Raw genomic sequence first — 12769 nt, 5'->3', positions numbered from 1 at the left:
CTCTGTTGCCCAGGCTGGAGTGCAGTGGCGGGATCTCGGCTCACTGCAAGCTCCGCCTCCTGGGTTCACGCCATTCTCCTGCCTCAGCCTCCCAAGTAGCTGGGACTACAGGCGCCCGCCACTACGCCCGGCTAATTTTTTGTATTTTTAGTAGAGACGGGGTTTCACCGTTTTAGCCAGGATGGTCTCGATCTCCTGACCTCGTGATCCGCCCGCCTCGGCCTCCCAAAGTGCTGGGATTACAGGCGTGAGCCACCGCGCCCGGCCTGCGGATTTTAACTAATACTACTGATGCCGCATCTCACCCCCCCTCCCGAGATTCTCAGGTACGGGGCGTGGCCTTGGCGGCGGCCTTATAAAAGCTCTCCCAGGTGATTCCAACCTGTAGTAACACTTGAGAACTGCGTGAGGTGGGGACTTCAACTTTAACTGGACTTATTTTCCTCCTATGTAAAAGGTGGACAATATGCAAGTGGTCCTGACTTTGCTTCCAGATTTTGGCAACTCCAGAGCCCTAGTTCGGTCTGGAGAGCCAGCTTCCCGCCCCGTGTCCTAAGGCCTCTGTCCGAGAACCCAAAGTCCTGGGAATGGACCCGCGGGAGCGGACCCGCGGGAGCATCTGTGACGCCGCTCAGCAACCCGGCGCCGCCCCGGCGGCTCCGACGTGGCCCAGTGTCCGGCTGGCGTGGGCTCTCCAGGCCGCACCCACTAAACCGCGCCGGAGCGGGACACGCATGCGCCGGTCTGGACCCGGCACCCAGTAACGGACTCGAGCTCCTCCCACCGGAAGTGGGCAGCCGCGCAGCGGGAAGAGCCGGCCGAAGCGTGGCGGCCACAGACTGTGGGTACCGGGTCCGAGGGACTCGCGCTTTTCTCTCCGTGCCATGGCGCCAGCGAAAGCCACGAACGTGGTGCGGCTGCTACTAGGCTCCACAGCGCTGTGGCTTTCGCAGCTCGGCTCCGGGACGGTCGCCGCGTCCAAGTCGGTGACTGCCCACTTGGCCGCGAAGTGGCCCGAGACCCCGCTGCTGCTGGAGGCAAGGTGGGTGCGGGCCGGGCCCTCGTCCGGGCGGGTGTGGGCGCGCTGCCACCCTCAGCCGCGCTTTCTTCGTGCTCGCAGCGGGTGTCTGGCTCCCACCCGGGTTCTCCAGACGCCCCCGCTCTGGCCCTGAGCATCACCACCTCCTTCCTTCCCGACCCGGGGCGGCTTCTCGGTTCCCGTGCAGCACTCACTTGCAGTTCCTTTCCCCCTCAGTCTTACTTTACCTACGATTTTTAAAGCTTCCCTGCCCTGCTTTAATACGTTGGGATGTATTAGCATTTACGCGTGGCACTTAACGCAAGAGCTTCTACTGGGGTAGGCAGTTCTGTTCAGACAGTGCTTAAAGTACCTAGTTTCGTAATGATGACATCATACCATCAGCTCCTAGGCTTACTATGGGGAGGGCAGCTTCCTGCAAGGTAATATTTTTCCTGTATCTCTTCCAACGGAATTAGTTCATGACCTGTCATTTACTCTGCAGAACAAAACTTGTAGCTATTGCATTTTGCCCTTTAGTATTCTAGTTGAGTAAAATTAGAAAGTTCTTTCTCTTAGCAAAAATGAAGTTTTACACCAATGACTTAATGGCTGTTCACCACAGCAACAGTGTGTGTCCCTAAAAAGAGACTCCATGACTCCACATAAGTTCATGTATTTGATGCTAAAAGTTCTTTTTTTTTTTCATTTCTATAGTTTATTGGGGAACAGGTGGTGTTTGGTTACATGAGTAAGTTCTTTAGTGGTGATTTCTGAGATTTTGGTACACCCATCACCCCATCAGTATATACACTGCACCCAATTTGTAGTCTTTTATCCCTCACTCCCTTCTCAACCTTTCCCCCGAGTCCCCGAAGTCCATTGTGTCAATCTTATGCCTTTGCATCCTCATAGCTTAGTTCCCACATATCAGTGAGAACATACTATATTTGGTTTTCCATTTCTGACTTACTTCACTTAGAATAATAGTCTCTAATCTCATCCAGGTTGCTGTGAATGCCATTAATTGATTCCTTTTTATGGCTGAGTAGTGTTCCATCATATATATGCCACAGTTTATCCACTCGTTGATTGATGGGTATTTGGATTGGTTCCACATTTTTGCACTTGTGAATTGTGCTGCTATAAACATACTTGTGCAACTATCTTTTTCATGACTTCTTTTCCTCTGGGTAGATACCTAGTAGTGGGATTGCTGGATCAAATGGTAGATCTACTCTTAGTACTTTGAGGACTCCCCACACTGTTTTCCATAGTGGTTATACTAGTTTACATTCCCACCAGCAGTGTAGAAGTGTTCCCTGTTCGCTGCATCCACGCCAACATCTATTATTTATTTTTATTTTTTTATTATGGCCATTCTTGCAGGAGTAAGGTGGTATCGCATTGTGGTTTTGATTTGTGTTTCCCTGATCATTAGTATGTTGAGCATTTTTTCATGTTAGCCATTTATATATCTTTTGAGAATTGTCTATTCATGTCCTTAGCCCACTTTTTGATGGGACTGTTTTTTTTTTCCTGCTGATTTGAGTTCCTTGTAGATTCTGGATATTAATCCTTTTTCAGATGTATAGATTGTGAAGATTTTCTCCCGTTTTGTGGGTTGTCTGTTTACTCTGCTGACTATTCCTTTTGCCGTGCAAAAGCTGTTTAGTTTAATTAAGTCCCAGCTATTTTTTTTATTATTATACTTTAAGTTCTAGGGTACATGTGCACAACGTGCAGGTACATAGATATACATGTGCCATGTTGGTGTGCTGCACCCATTAACTCATCATTTACATTAGGTGTATCTCCTAATGCTATCCCCCGCTCCCCCAACCCCACAACAGGCCCTGGTGTGTGATGTTCCCCATTGTGTGTCCAAGTATTCTCATTGTTCAGTTCCCACCTATGAGTGAGAACATGAGGTGTTTGGTTTTCTATCCTTGTGATAGTTTGCTGAGAATGATGGTTTCCAGCTGCATGCATGTCCCTACAAAGGACATGAACTCATCCTTTTTTATGGCTGCATAGTATTCCGTGGTGTATATGTGCCACATTTTCTTAATCCAGTCTATCATTGACGGACATTTGGGTTGGTTCCAAGTCTTTGCTATTGTGAATAGTGCCGCAATAAACATGTGTGTGCATGTGTCTTTATAGCAGCATGATTTATAATCCTTTGGGTATATACCCAGTAATGGGATGGCTGGGTCAAATGGTATTTCTAGTCCTACATCCTTGAGGAATCGCCACAATGTCTTCCACAATGGTTGAACTAGTTTACAGTCCCACCAACAGTGTAAAAGTGTCCCTATTTCTCCACATCCTCTCCAGCACCTGTTGTTTCCTGACTTTTTAATGATCGCCCTTCTAACTGGTGTGAGATGGTATCTCATTGTGGTTTTGATTTGCATTTCTCTGATGGCCAGTGATGATGAGAATTTTTTCATGTGTCTGTTGGTTGCATAAATGTCTTCTTTTGAGAAGTGTCTGTTCATATCCTTCACCCACTTTTTGATGGGGTCGTTTAATTTTTTTCTTGTAAATTTGTTTAAGTTCTTTGTAGATTCTGGATATTAGCCCTTGGTCAGATGGGTAGATTGCAAAAATTTTCTCCCATTCTGTAGGTTGCCTGTTCACTCTGATGGTAGTTTCTTTTGCTGTGCAGATGCTCTTTACTTTAATTAGATCCCATTTGTCAGTTTTGGCTTTTGTTGCCATTGCTTTTGGTGTTTTAGACATGAAGTCCTTGCCCATGCCTATGTCCTGAATGGTATTGCCTAGGTTTTCTTCTAGAGTTTTTATGGTTTTAGATCTAACATTTAAGTCTTTAGTCCATCTTGAATTAATTTTTGTATAAGGTGTAAGGAAGGGATCCAGTTTCAGCTTTCTACATATGGCTAGCCAGTTTTTCCAGCACCATTTATTAAATAGGGAATCCTTTCCCCATTTCTTGTTTTTGTCAGATTTGTCAAAGATCAGATGGTTGTAGATGTGTGGTATTATTTCTGAGGGCTCTGCTCTGTTCCATTGGTCTATATCTCTATTTTGGCACCAGTACCATGGTGTTTTGGTTACTGTAGCCTTATAGTATAGTTTGAAGTCAGGTAGCGTGATGCCTCCAGCTTTGTTCTTTTTGCTTAGGATTGTCTTGGCAATGCGAGCTCTCTTTTGTATCCATATGAACTTTAAAGTAGTTTTTTCCAATTTTGTGAAGAAAGTCATTGGTAGCTTGATGGGGATGGCATTGAATCTATAAATTACCTTGGGCAGTATGGCCGTTTTCACGATACTGATTCTTCCTATCCATGAGCATGGAATATTCTTCCATTTGTTTGTGTCCTCTTTTATTTTTTTGAGCAGTGGTTTGTAGTTCTCTTTGAAGAGGTCCTTCACATCCCTTGTAAGTTGGATTCCTAGGTATTTTATTCTCTTTGAAGCAATTGTGAATGGGAGTTCACTCATGATTTGGCCCTCTGTTTGTCTGTTATTGGCATAGAGCAATGCTTGTGATTTTTGTACATTGATTTTGTATCCTGAGACTTTGCTGAAGTTGCTTATCAGCTTAAGGAGATTTTGGGCTGAGATGATGGGGTTTTCTAAATATACAATCATATCATCTGCCAACAGGGACAATTTGACTTCCTCTTTTCCTAATTGAATACCCTTTATTTCTTTCTCCTGCCTGATTGCCCTGGCCAGAACTTCCAACACTGTGTTGAATAGGAGTGGTGAGAGAGGGCATCCTTGTCTTGTGCCAGTTTTCAAAGGGAATGCTTCCAGATTTTGCCCATTCAGTATGATATTGGCTGCAGATTTGTCATAAATAGCTCTTATTATTTTGAGATATGTCCCATCAATACCTAATTTGAGAGTTTTTAGCATGAAGGGCTGTTGAATTTTGTCAAAGGCCTTTTCTGCATCTATTAAGATAATCATGTGGTTTTTGTCTTTGGTTCTGTTTATATGATGAATTATGTTTATTGATTTGCATATGTTGAAACAGCCTTGCATCCCAGGGATGAAGCCCACTTGATCATGGTGGATAAGCTTTTTGAGATGCTGCTGGATTTGGTTTGCCAGTATTTTATTGAGGTTTTTGCATTGATGTTCATCAGGGATATTGGTCTAAAATTCTCTTTTTTTGTTGTGTCTCTGCCAGGCTTTGGTATCAGGATGATGCTGGCCTTATAAAATGAGTTAGGGAGGATTCCCTTTTTTTGTATCAATTGGAATAGTTTAAGAAAGAATGGTACCAGCTCCTCTTTGTACCTTTGGTACAATTTGGCTGTGAATCTGTCTGGTCCTGGACTTTTTTTGTTTGGTAGGCTATTATTGCCTCAATTTCAGAGCCTGTTATTGGTGTATTCAGGGATTCAACTTCTTCCTGGTTTAGTCTTGGGAGGGTGTATGTGTACAGGAATTTATCCATTTCTTCTAGATTTTCTAGTTTATTTGCGTAGAGGTGTTTATAGTATTCTCTGATGGTAGTTTGGATTTCTGTGGGATTGGTAGTGATATCCCCTTTATCATTTTTTATTGCATCTATTTGATTCTTCTCTTTTCTTCTTTATTAGTCTTGCTAGCGGTCTATCAATTTTGTTGATCTTTTCAAAAAACCAGCTCCTGAATTCATTGATATTTTTTTGAATGGTTTTCTTGTGTCTCTATCTCCTTCAGTTTTGCTCTGATCTTAGTTATTTCTTGCCTTCTGCTAGCTTTTGAATGTGGTTGCTCCTGCTTCTCTAGTTCTTTTAATTTGATGTTAGGGTGTCAATTTTAGATCTTTCCTGCTTTCTCTTGTGGACATTTAGTGCTATAAATTTCCCTCTACACACTGCTTTAAATGTGTCCCAGAGATTCTGGTATGTTGTGTCTTTGTTCTTATTGGTTTCAAAGAACAGCTTTATTTCTGCCTTCATTTTGTTATGTACCCAGTAGTCATTCAGGAGCAGGTTGTTCAGTTTTCATGTAGTTGAGTGGTTATGAGTGAATTTCTTAATCTTGAGTTCTAGTTTGATTGCTGTTGTCTGAGAGACAGTATGTTATAATTTCTCTTCTTTTACATTTGCTGAGGAGTCCTTTACTTGCAACTATGTGGTCAATTTTGGAATAAGTGCGGTGTGGTGCTGAGAAGAACGTATATTCTGTTGATTTGGGGTGGAGAGTTCTGTAGATGTCTATTAGGTCTGCTTGGTGCAGAGCTGAGTTCAATTCCTGGATATCCTTGTTAACTTTCTGTCTCGTTGATCTGTCTAATGTTGACAGTGGGGTGTTAAAGTCTCCCATTATTATTGTGTGGGAGTCTAAATCTCTTTCTAGGTCTCTAAGGACTTGCTTTATGAATCTAGTTGCTCCTGTATTGGGTGCATATGTATTTAGGATAGTTAGCTCTTCTTGTTGAATTAATCCCTTTACCATTATGTAATGGCCTTCTTTGTCTCTTCTGATCTTTGTTGGTTTAAAGTCTGTTTTATCAGAGACTAGGATTGCAACCCCTGCTTTTTTTTGTTTCCCATTTGCTTGGTAGATCTTCCTCCATCCCTTTATTTTGAGCCTATGTGTGTCTCTCTCACATAGCAAGGAGCTGCGTTCCTTTGGAGGAGAAGAGGCACTCTGATTTTTAGAATTTGCAGCTTTTCTGCTCTGGTTTCTCCCCATCTTTGTGGTTTTATCTACCTTTGGTCTTTGATGATGGTGACGTACAGATGGGATTTTGGTGTGGATGTCCTTTCTGTTTGTTAGTTTTACTTCTAACAGTCAGGACCCTCAGCTGCAGGTCTGTTGGAGTTTGCTGGAGGTCCACTCCAGACCCTGTTTGCCTGGGTATCTACAGCAGAGGCTGCAGAACAGCAAATATTGCAGAACGGCAAATGTTGCTGTCTTATTGTTCCTCTGGAAGCTTCGTCTCAGAGGGGCACCCGGCTGTATGAGGTGTCAGTCGGCCCCTACTGGGAAGTGCCTCCCCATTAGGCTACTTGGGGTTCAGGGATCCACTTGAGGAGGCAGTCTGTCTGTTCTCAGATCTCAAACTCCGTGCTGGGAGAAGCACCACTCTCTTCAAAGCTGTCAGACAGGGACATATAAGTGTGCAGAAGTTTCTGCTGCCTTTTGTTCAGTTATGCCCTGACCCCCAGAGGTGGAGTCTACAGAGGCAGGCAGGCCTCCTGGAGCTGTGGTGGGCTCCACCCAGTTCAAGCTTCCAGACTGCTTTGTTTACCTACTCAAACCTCAGCAATGGCGGGTGCCCCTCCCCCAGCCTCACTGCTGCCTTGCGGTTGGATCTCAGACTGCTGTGCTAGCAATGAGGGAGGCTCCGTGGACATGGGACTCTTCAAGCCATGCGCAGGATATAATCTCCTGGTGTGCCGTTTGCTAAGACCGTTGGAAAAGCGCAGTATTAGGGTAGGAGTGACCCGATTTTCCAGGTGCCATCTGTCACGGCTTCCCTTGGCTAGGAAAGGGAATTCCCCGACCTCTTGCACTTTCCGGGTGAGGCGATGCCTTGCCCCGCTTCGGCTCACACTCTGTGGGCTGCACCCACTGCCCTGTACCCACTGTCTGACAAGCCCCAATGAGATGAACCTGGTACCTCAGTTGGAAATGCGGAAATCACCTTTCTTCTGCATCGCTCATGCTAGGAGCTGTAGACTGGAGCTGTTCCTATTCAGCCATCTTGGAACCTCTCTCCTATTTATCTTTGTTTTTATTGCATTTGCTTTGGGGTTCTTGGTCATGAAATCCTTGCCTAAGCCAATGTCTAAAAGGGTTTTTCTGAGGTTATCTTCTAGAATTTTTATAGTTTCAGGTCTTAGATTTAAGTCCTTGATCCATCTTGAATTGATTTTTGTATAACGCGAGAGATAAGAATCCAGTTTCATTCTCCTACATGTGGCTTGCCAAGTATCCCAGCACCATTTTTTTGAATAGAGTGTCCTTTCCCCACTTTGTTTTTGTTTGCTTTCTCGAAGGTCAGTTGGCTGGAAGTATTTGGGTTTATTTCTGGATTCTCTATTACGTTCCATTGGTCTATGTGCCTGTTTTTACACCAGTACCATGCTGTTTTGGAGACTATGGTTTTATAGTATAGTTTAAAATCAGGTAATGTGATTCCTCCAGATTTATTCTTTTTGCTTAATCTTGCTTTGGCTGTGTGGGCTCTTTTTTGGTTCCATATGAATTTTAGGATTTTTTTTCTAGTTTTGTGAAGAATGATGGTGGTATTTTGATGGGAATTGCATTGAATTTGTAGATTGCTTTTGGCAGTATGGTCATTTTCACAGTATTGATTCTACCCATCCATGAGCGTGGGGTATGGTTCCATTTGTTTGTGTCGTCTATGATTTCTTTCAGCAGTGTTTTGTAGTTTTCCTTGTAGAGATCTTTCACCTCATTTGTTAGGTGTATTCCTAAGCATTTTATTTTTGTTGGAGCTGTTGTAAAAGGGGTTGAGTTCTTGATTAGATTCTCAGTTTGGTCGCTGTTGGTATATAAGAGAGCAACTGATTTGTGTACATTAATTTTGTATCTGGAAACTTTGCTGAATTCTTTTATCAGTTCTTGGAGCTTTTTGGAGGAGTCTTTGGGGTTTTCTAGGTATATAATCGTATCATCAGTTAACAGCGACAGTTTGACTTCCTCTTTACTGATTTGGATGCCCTTTATTTCTTTCTCTTGTCTGATTGTTCTGACTAGGACTTCCATTACTATGTTGAATAGAAGTGGTGAGAGTGGGCATGGTTGCCTTGTTCCAGTTCTCAGAGGGAATGCTTTAAACTTTTCCCCATTCAGTATTATGTTGGCTGTGGGTTTGTCATAGATGGCTTTTATTACATTGAGGTATGTCCCTTGTATGCCGATTTTGTTGAGAGTTTTAATCATAAAGGGGTGCTTGATTTTGTCAAATGCTTTTTCTGCGTCTATTGAGATGATCATGTAATATTTATTTTTAATTCTGTTTATCTGGTGTATCACATTTATTGACTTGCCTATATTAAACCATCCCTGTTATGAAACCCACTTCATAATGGTGGATTATCTTTTTGATACATTGTTGGATTCGGTTAGCTAGTATATTGTTAAGGATTTTTACATCTGTGTTCATCAGGGATATTGGTATGTAGTTTCCTTTTTTGGTTATGTTTTTTTCCTGGTTTTGGTATTCGGATGATACTGGCTTCATAGAATGATTTCAGGAGGATTCCCTCTTTCTGTCTCGTGGAATAGTGTCAATAGGATTCGTACGAATTCTTTGAATGTCTGGTAGAATTTGGCTGTGAATATGTCTGGTCCTGGACGTTTTTATGTTGACAATTTTTTATTACAATTTTAATCTCGCTGCTTACTATTGTTCTGTTCAGGGTATCTAATTCTTCCTGATTTAAGCTAGGAGGGTTGTATCTTTCCAGGAATTTATCCATCTCCTCTAGGTTTTCTACTTTATGCATATAAAGTTGTTCATGGTAGCCTTGAATGATCTTTTGTATTTCTGTGGTGTCAGTTGTAATAGCTCCCATTTCATTTCTAATTGAGCTTATTTGGATTTTCTCTTTTTTCTTCTTGTTTAATCTTGCTAATGGTCTATTTATGTTATCTTTTCAAAGAACTAGCTTTTTGTTTCATTTATCTTTTGTATTTTTTGTTTGTTTCAATTTCATTTAGTTCTGCTCTAATCTTGGTTATTTCACTTCTACTGGGATTGGGTTTGGTTTGTTCTGTTTCTTTAGTTCCTTGAGGTTAGACCTTAGATTGTCTGTGCACCTTCAGACTTTCTGATGTAGGCATTTAGGGCTATGAACTTTCCTCTTAGCAGAGCCTTTGCTGTATCCCAGAGGTTTTGATAGGTTGTGTCACTGTTGTTGTTCGGTTCAAAAACATTTTAAATTTCCATCTTGATTTCATTGTTGACTTATTCAGGAGAAGGTTATTTAATTTCCATGTATTTGCATGGTTTTGAAGGTTCCTTTTAGGGTTGATTTTCAGTTTTATTCCACTGTGGTCTGAGAGAGTGTTTGATATAATGTCAGTTTTCTTAAATTTATTGAGGTTTGATTTGTGGCCTATCAGTGGTCTACCTTGGAAAAAGTTTCATGCACTGATGATGAATAGAATGTATATTCTGTGGTTGTTGGGTAGAATGTTCTGTAAATATCTGTTAAGTCCATTTTTTCCAGGGTATAGTTTCAATCCATTGTTTCTTTGTTGACTTTCTGTCTTGATGACCTGTCTAGTGCTATCAGTGCAGTATTGAAGTCTCCAACTATTATTTTGTTACTGTGTATCTCATTTCTTAAGTCTAGTAGTAATTGTTTTATAAATTTGGGAACTCCATTATTGCATATATATTTCAGATTGTAATATTTCCGTGTTGGACAAGGCCTTTTATCATTATATAATGTCCCTCTTTGTCTTTTTTTAACTGTTGTTGCTTTAACATTTGTTTTATCTCATATAAGAATAGCTACTCTTGCTCGCTTTTGGTGTCCATTTGCATGGAATATCTTTTTCTACCCCTTTACCTTAAGTTTATGTGAGTCCTTAGGTGATAGGTAAGTCTCTTGAAGACAGCAGATGGTTGGTGAATTCTTATCCATTCTGCAGTTCTGTATCTTTTAAGTGGAGCATTTAGGCCCTTTACATTCAATGTTAGTATTGAGATGTGAGGTACCATTCTATTCATTGTGCTATTTGTTGCCTGTATACCTTGTTTTTTTAATTGTATTTTTGTTTTATAGGTCCTGCGAGATTTATGTTTTAAAGAGGTTCTGTTTTGATTTATTCCCATGATTTGTTTCAAGATTTAGAGCTCCTTTTAGCAGTTCTTGTGGTGCTGGATTGGTAGTGGCAAATTCTGTCAGCATTTTTTTGTCTGGAAAAGACTGTATCTTTCCTTCATTTATGAAGATTAGTTTTGCTAGATACGAAATTCTTGACTGATAATTGTTTTGTTTAAGAGGCAGAAGATAGGGCCCCAATCCCTTCTAGCTTGTAGGGTTTCTGCTGAGAAATCTGCTGTTAATCTGATAGGTTTTCCTTTATAGGTTAGTTACCTGGTGTTTTTGCCTCACAGCTCTTAAGATTCTTTCCTTCATCTTAACTTTGGATAACCTGATGACTATGTGCCTAGGCAATGATCTTTTTGTGTTGAATTTCCCAGGTGTTCTTTGAGCTTCTTGTATTTGGATGTCTAGGTCTCTAGAAAGGGTGGGGAAGTTTTCCTCAATTATTCCCCCAAATATGTTTTCCGAACTTTTAGATTTCTCTTCTTTCTCAGGAATACTGATTATTCTTAGGTTTGGTCATTTAACATAATCCCAGACTTCTTGGAGGCTTTGTTCATATTTTATTATCCTTTTTTCTTTGTCTTTGTTGTATTGGGTTAATTTTAAAACCGTGTCCTCAAGCTCTGAAGTTCTTTCTTCTGCTTATTTGATTCTATTGCTGAAACTCTATTTTACATTTCTATAAGTGCGTCCATTGTTTCCTGAAGTTTTGATTGTTTTTATTTATGCAATCTATTTCACTGAAGATTTCTCCCCTCCTTTCTTGTATCTTTTTTTTTTTATTTCCTTAAATGGGGCTTTGCCTTTCTCTGGTGCCTCCTTGATTAGCTTAATAACTGACCATCTGAATTCTTTTCAGGTAAATCAGGCATTTCATCTTAGTTTGGATCTATTGCTGGTGAGCGAGTGTGATTTTTTTGGGGGGTGTTAAAGAACCTTGTTTTGTCATAGTACTAGAGTTGGTTTTCTGGTTCCTTCTCATTTGGGTAGGCTCTGTCAGAGGGAAGGTCTAGGGCTGAAGGCTGTTGTTCAGATTCTTTTGTCCCATAGAGGTGTTCCCTTGATGTAGTACTCTCCTTCTTTTCCTACAGATGTGGCTTCCTGACAGCCAAGCTGTAGAGATTGTTCTGGATCTAGCCACCTAGTAGGTCTAACAGGCTCCAGGCTGGTACTAGGAATTGTCTGCACAGAGTCCTATGATCTGAACTGTCTATGGGTCTCTTAGCTGTGGATACCAGCACCTGCTCTGCTGGAGGTGGCAGGGGGGTGAAATGGACTCTCTGAGGGTCCTTACTTTTTGTTGTTTAATGCACTATTTTTGTGCTGGTTGGCATTCTGCAGGGAGGTGGCCTTTTCAATAGAGCATCAGCTGTGGTAGTATGGGGAGGATCAGGCAGTGGGTGGGCCCTGGAACTCCTAAGAGTATATGCCCTTTGTCTTCAGCTACCATGGTGAGTAGGGAAGGACCATCAGATAGGGGCATTTCTAGGGCATGTCTGGGCTCAGACTGTCCTTGGGTGGGTCTTGTTGCAACTGCTGTGGGGGATGGGGGTGGGATTCCTAGGTCAATGGAGTTATATTCCCAGGAGGATTATGGCTGCCTCTGCTTTGTCATGCAGGTTGTCAGGGAAGTGGGGGAAAGCCTACAGTCACAGGCCTCACCCAGCTCCCATGCAACCCAAAAGGCCAGTCTCACTCCCTCTGTGCCCCACCCAACAGCACTGAGTCTGTTTCCAGGCGGTGGGCGAGCAGGGCTGAGAACTTAGGTGGTGGGCGAGCAGGGCTGAGAACTTGCCCCAGGCTACCAGCCTCCCAGCTGCAAATGCAAATAGGGCTCTCATGCTTCCCCACCTGTGGAGTTTGCACACCAGATTCATGCCCTCTCCCAAGTTCTGGCCAGGAGATTTCTTGTTCCTTTGAAATTGTTACAAGGTTCAGCTGGAGGTTTCCTTCTCCCTGTGGC

General features: G+C 42.3%; 1 protein-coding gene across 9 annotated transcripts in view, besides 2 other annotated features; it reads left to right on the top strand.

The window, feature by feature from the left end:
* Positions 535 to 1034: an enhancer, noted in NCBI's record as "H3K27ac hESC enhancer chr13:96705417-96705916 (GRCh37/hg19 assembly coordinates)". NCBI's record gives its function as "activates a minimal SCP1, AML or CMV promoter by ChIP-STARR-seq in primed H9 embryonic stem cells {active_cell/tissue: H9 hESC(primed)}" and the evidence as "EXISTENCE:reporter gene assay evidence [ECO:0000049][PMID:30033119]".
* Positions 796 to 12769, top strand: part of UGGT2 (UDP-glucose glycoprotein glucosyltransferase 2) — a 251822-nt gene continuing 239848 nt past the window's right edge. For all 9 annotated transcript variants that reach the window (XR_931617.2, XM_047430471.1, NM_020121.4 and 6 more), the window contains exon 1: positions 796 to 1042. Coding sequence is in view for 8 of the 9 variants with exons in the window: in XM_047430471.1 (XP_047286427.1) it covers positions 885 to 1042 (158 nt within the window). In the remaining variant the exon portion in view is untranslated. The remainder of the gene's footprint in view (positions 1043 to 12769) is intronic.
* Positions 12070 to 12659: an enhancer, noted in NCBI's record as "OCT4-H3K27ac-H3K4me1 hESC enhancer chr13:96693792-96694381 (GRCh37/hg19 assembly coordinates)". NCBI's record gives its function as "activates a minimal SCP1, AML or CMV promoter by ChIP-STARR-seq in primed H9 embryonic stem cells {active_cell/tissue: H9 hESC(primed)}" and the evidence as "EXISTENCE:reporter gene assay evidence [ECO:0000049][PMID:30033119]".

Source organism: Homo sapiens, chromosome 13, assembly GCF_000001405.40.
Source record: "Homo sapiens chromosome 13, GRCh38.p14 Primary Assembly".
NCBI lineage: Eukaryota > Metazoa > Chordata > Mammalia > Primates > Hominidae > Homo > Homo sapiens.
This window is presented reverse-complemented; position numbering and strand designations above follow the sequence as displayed.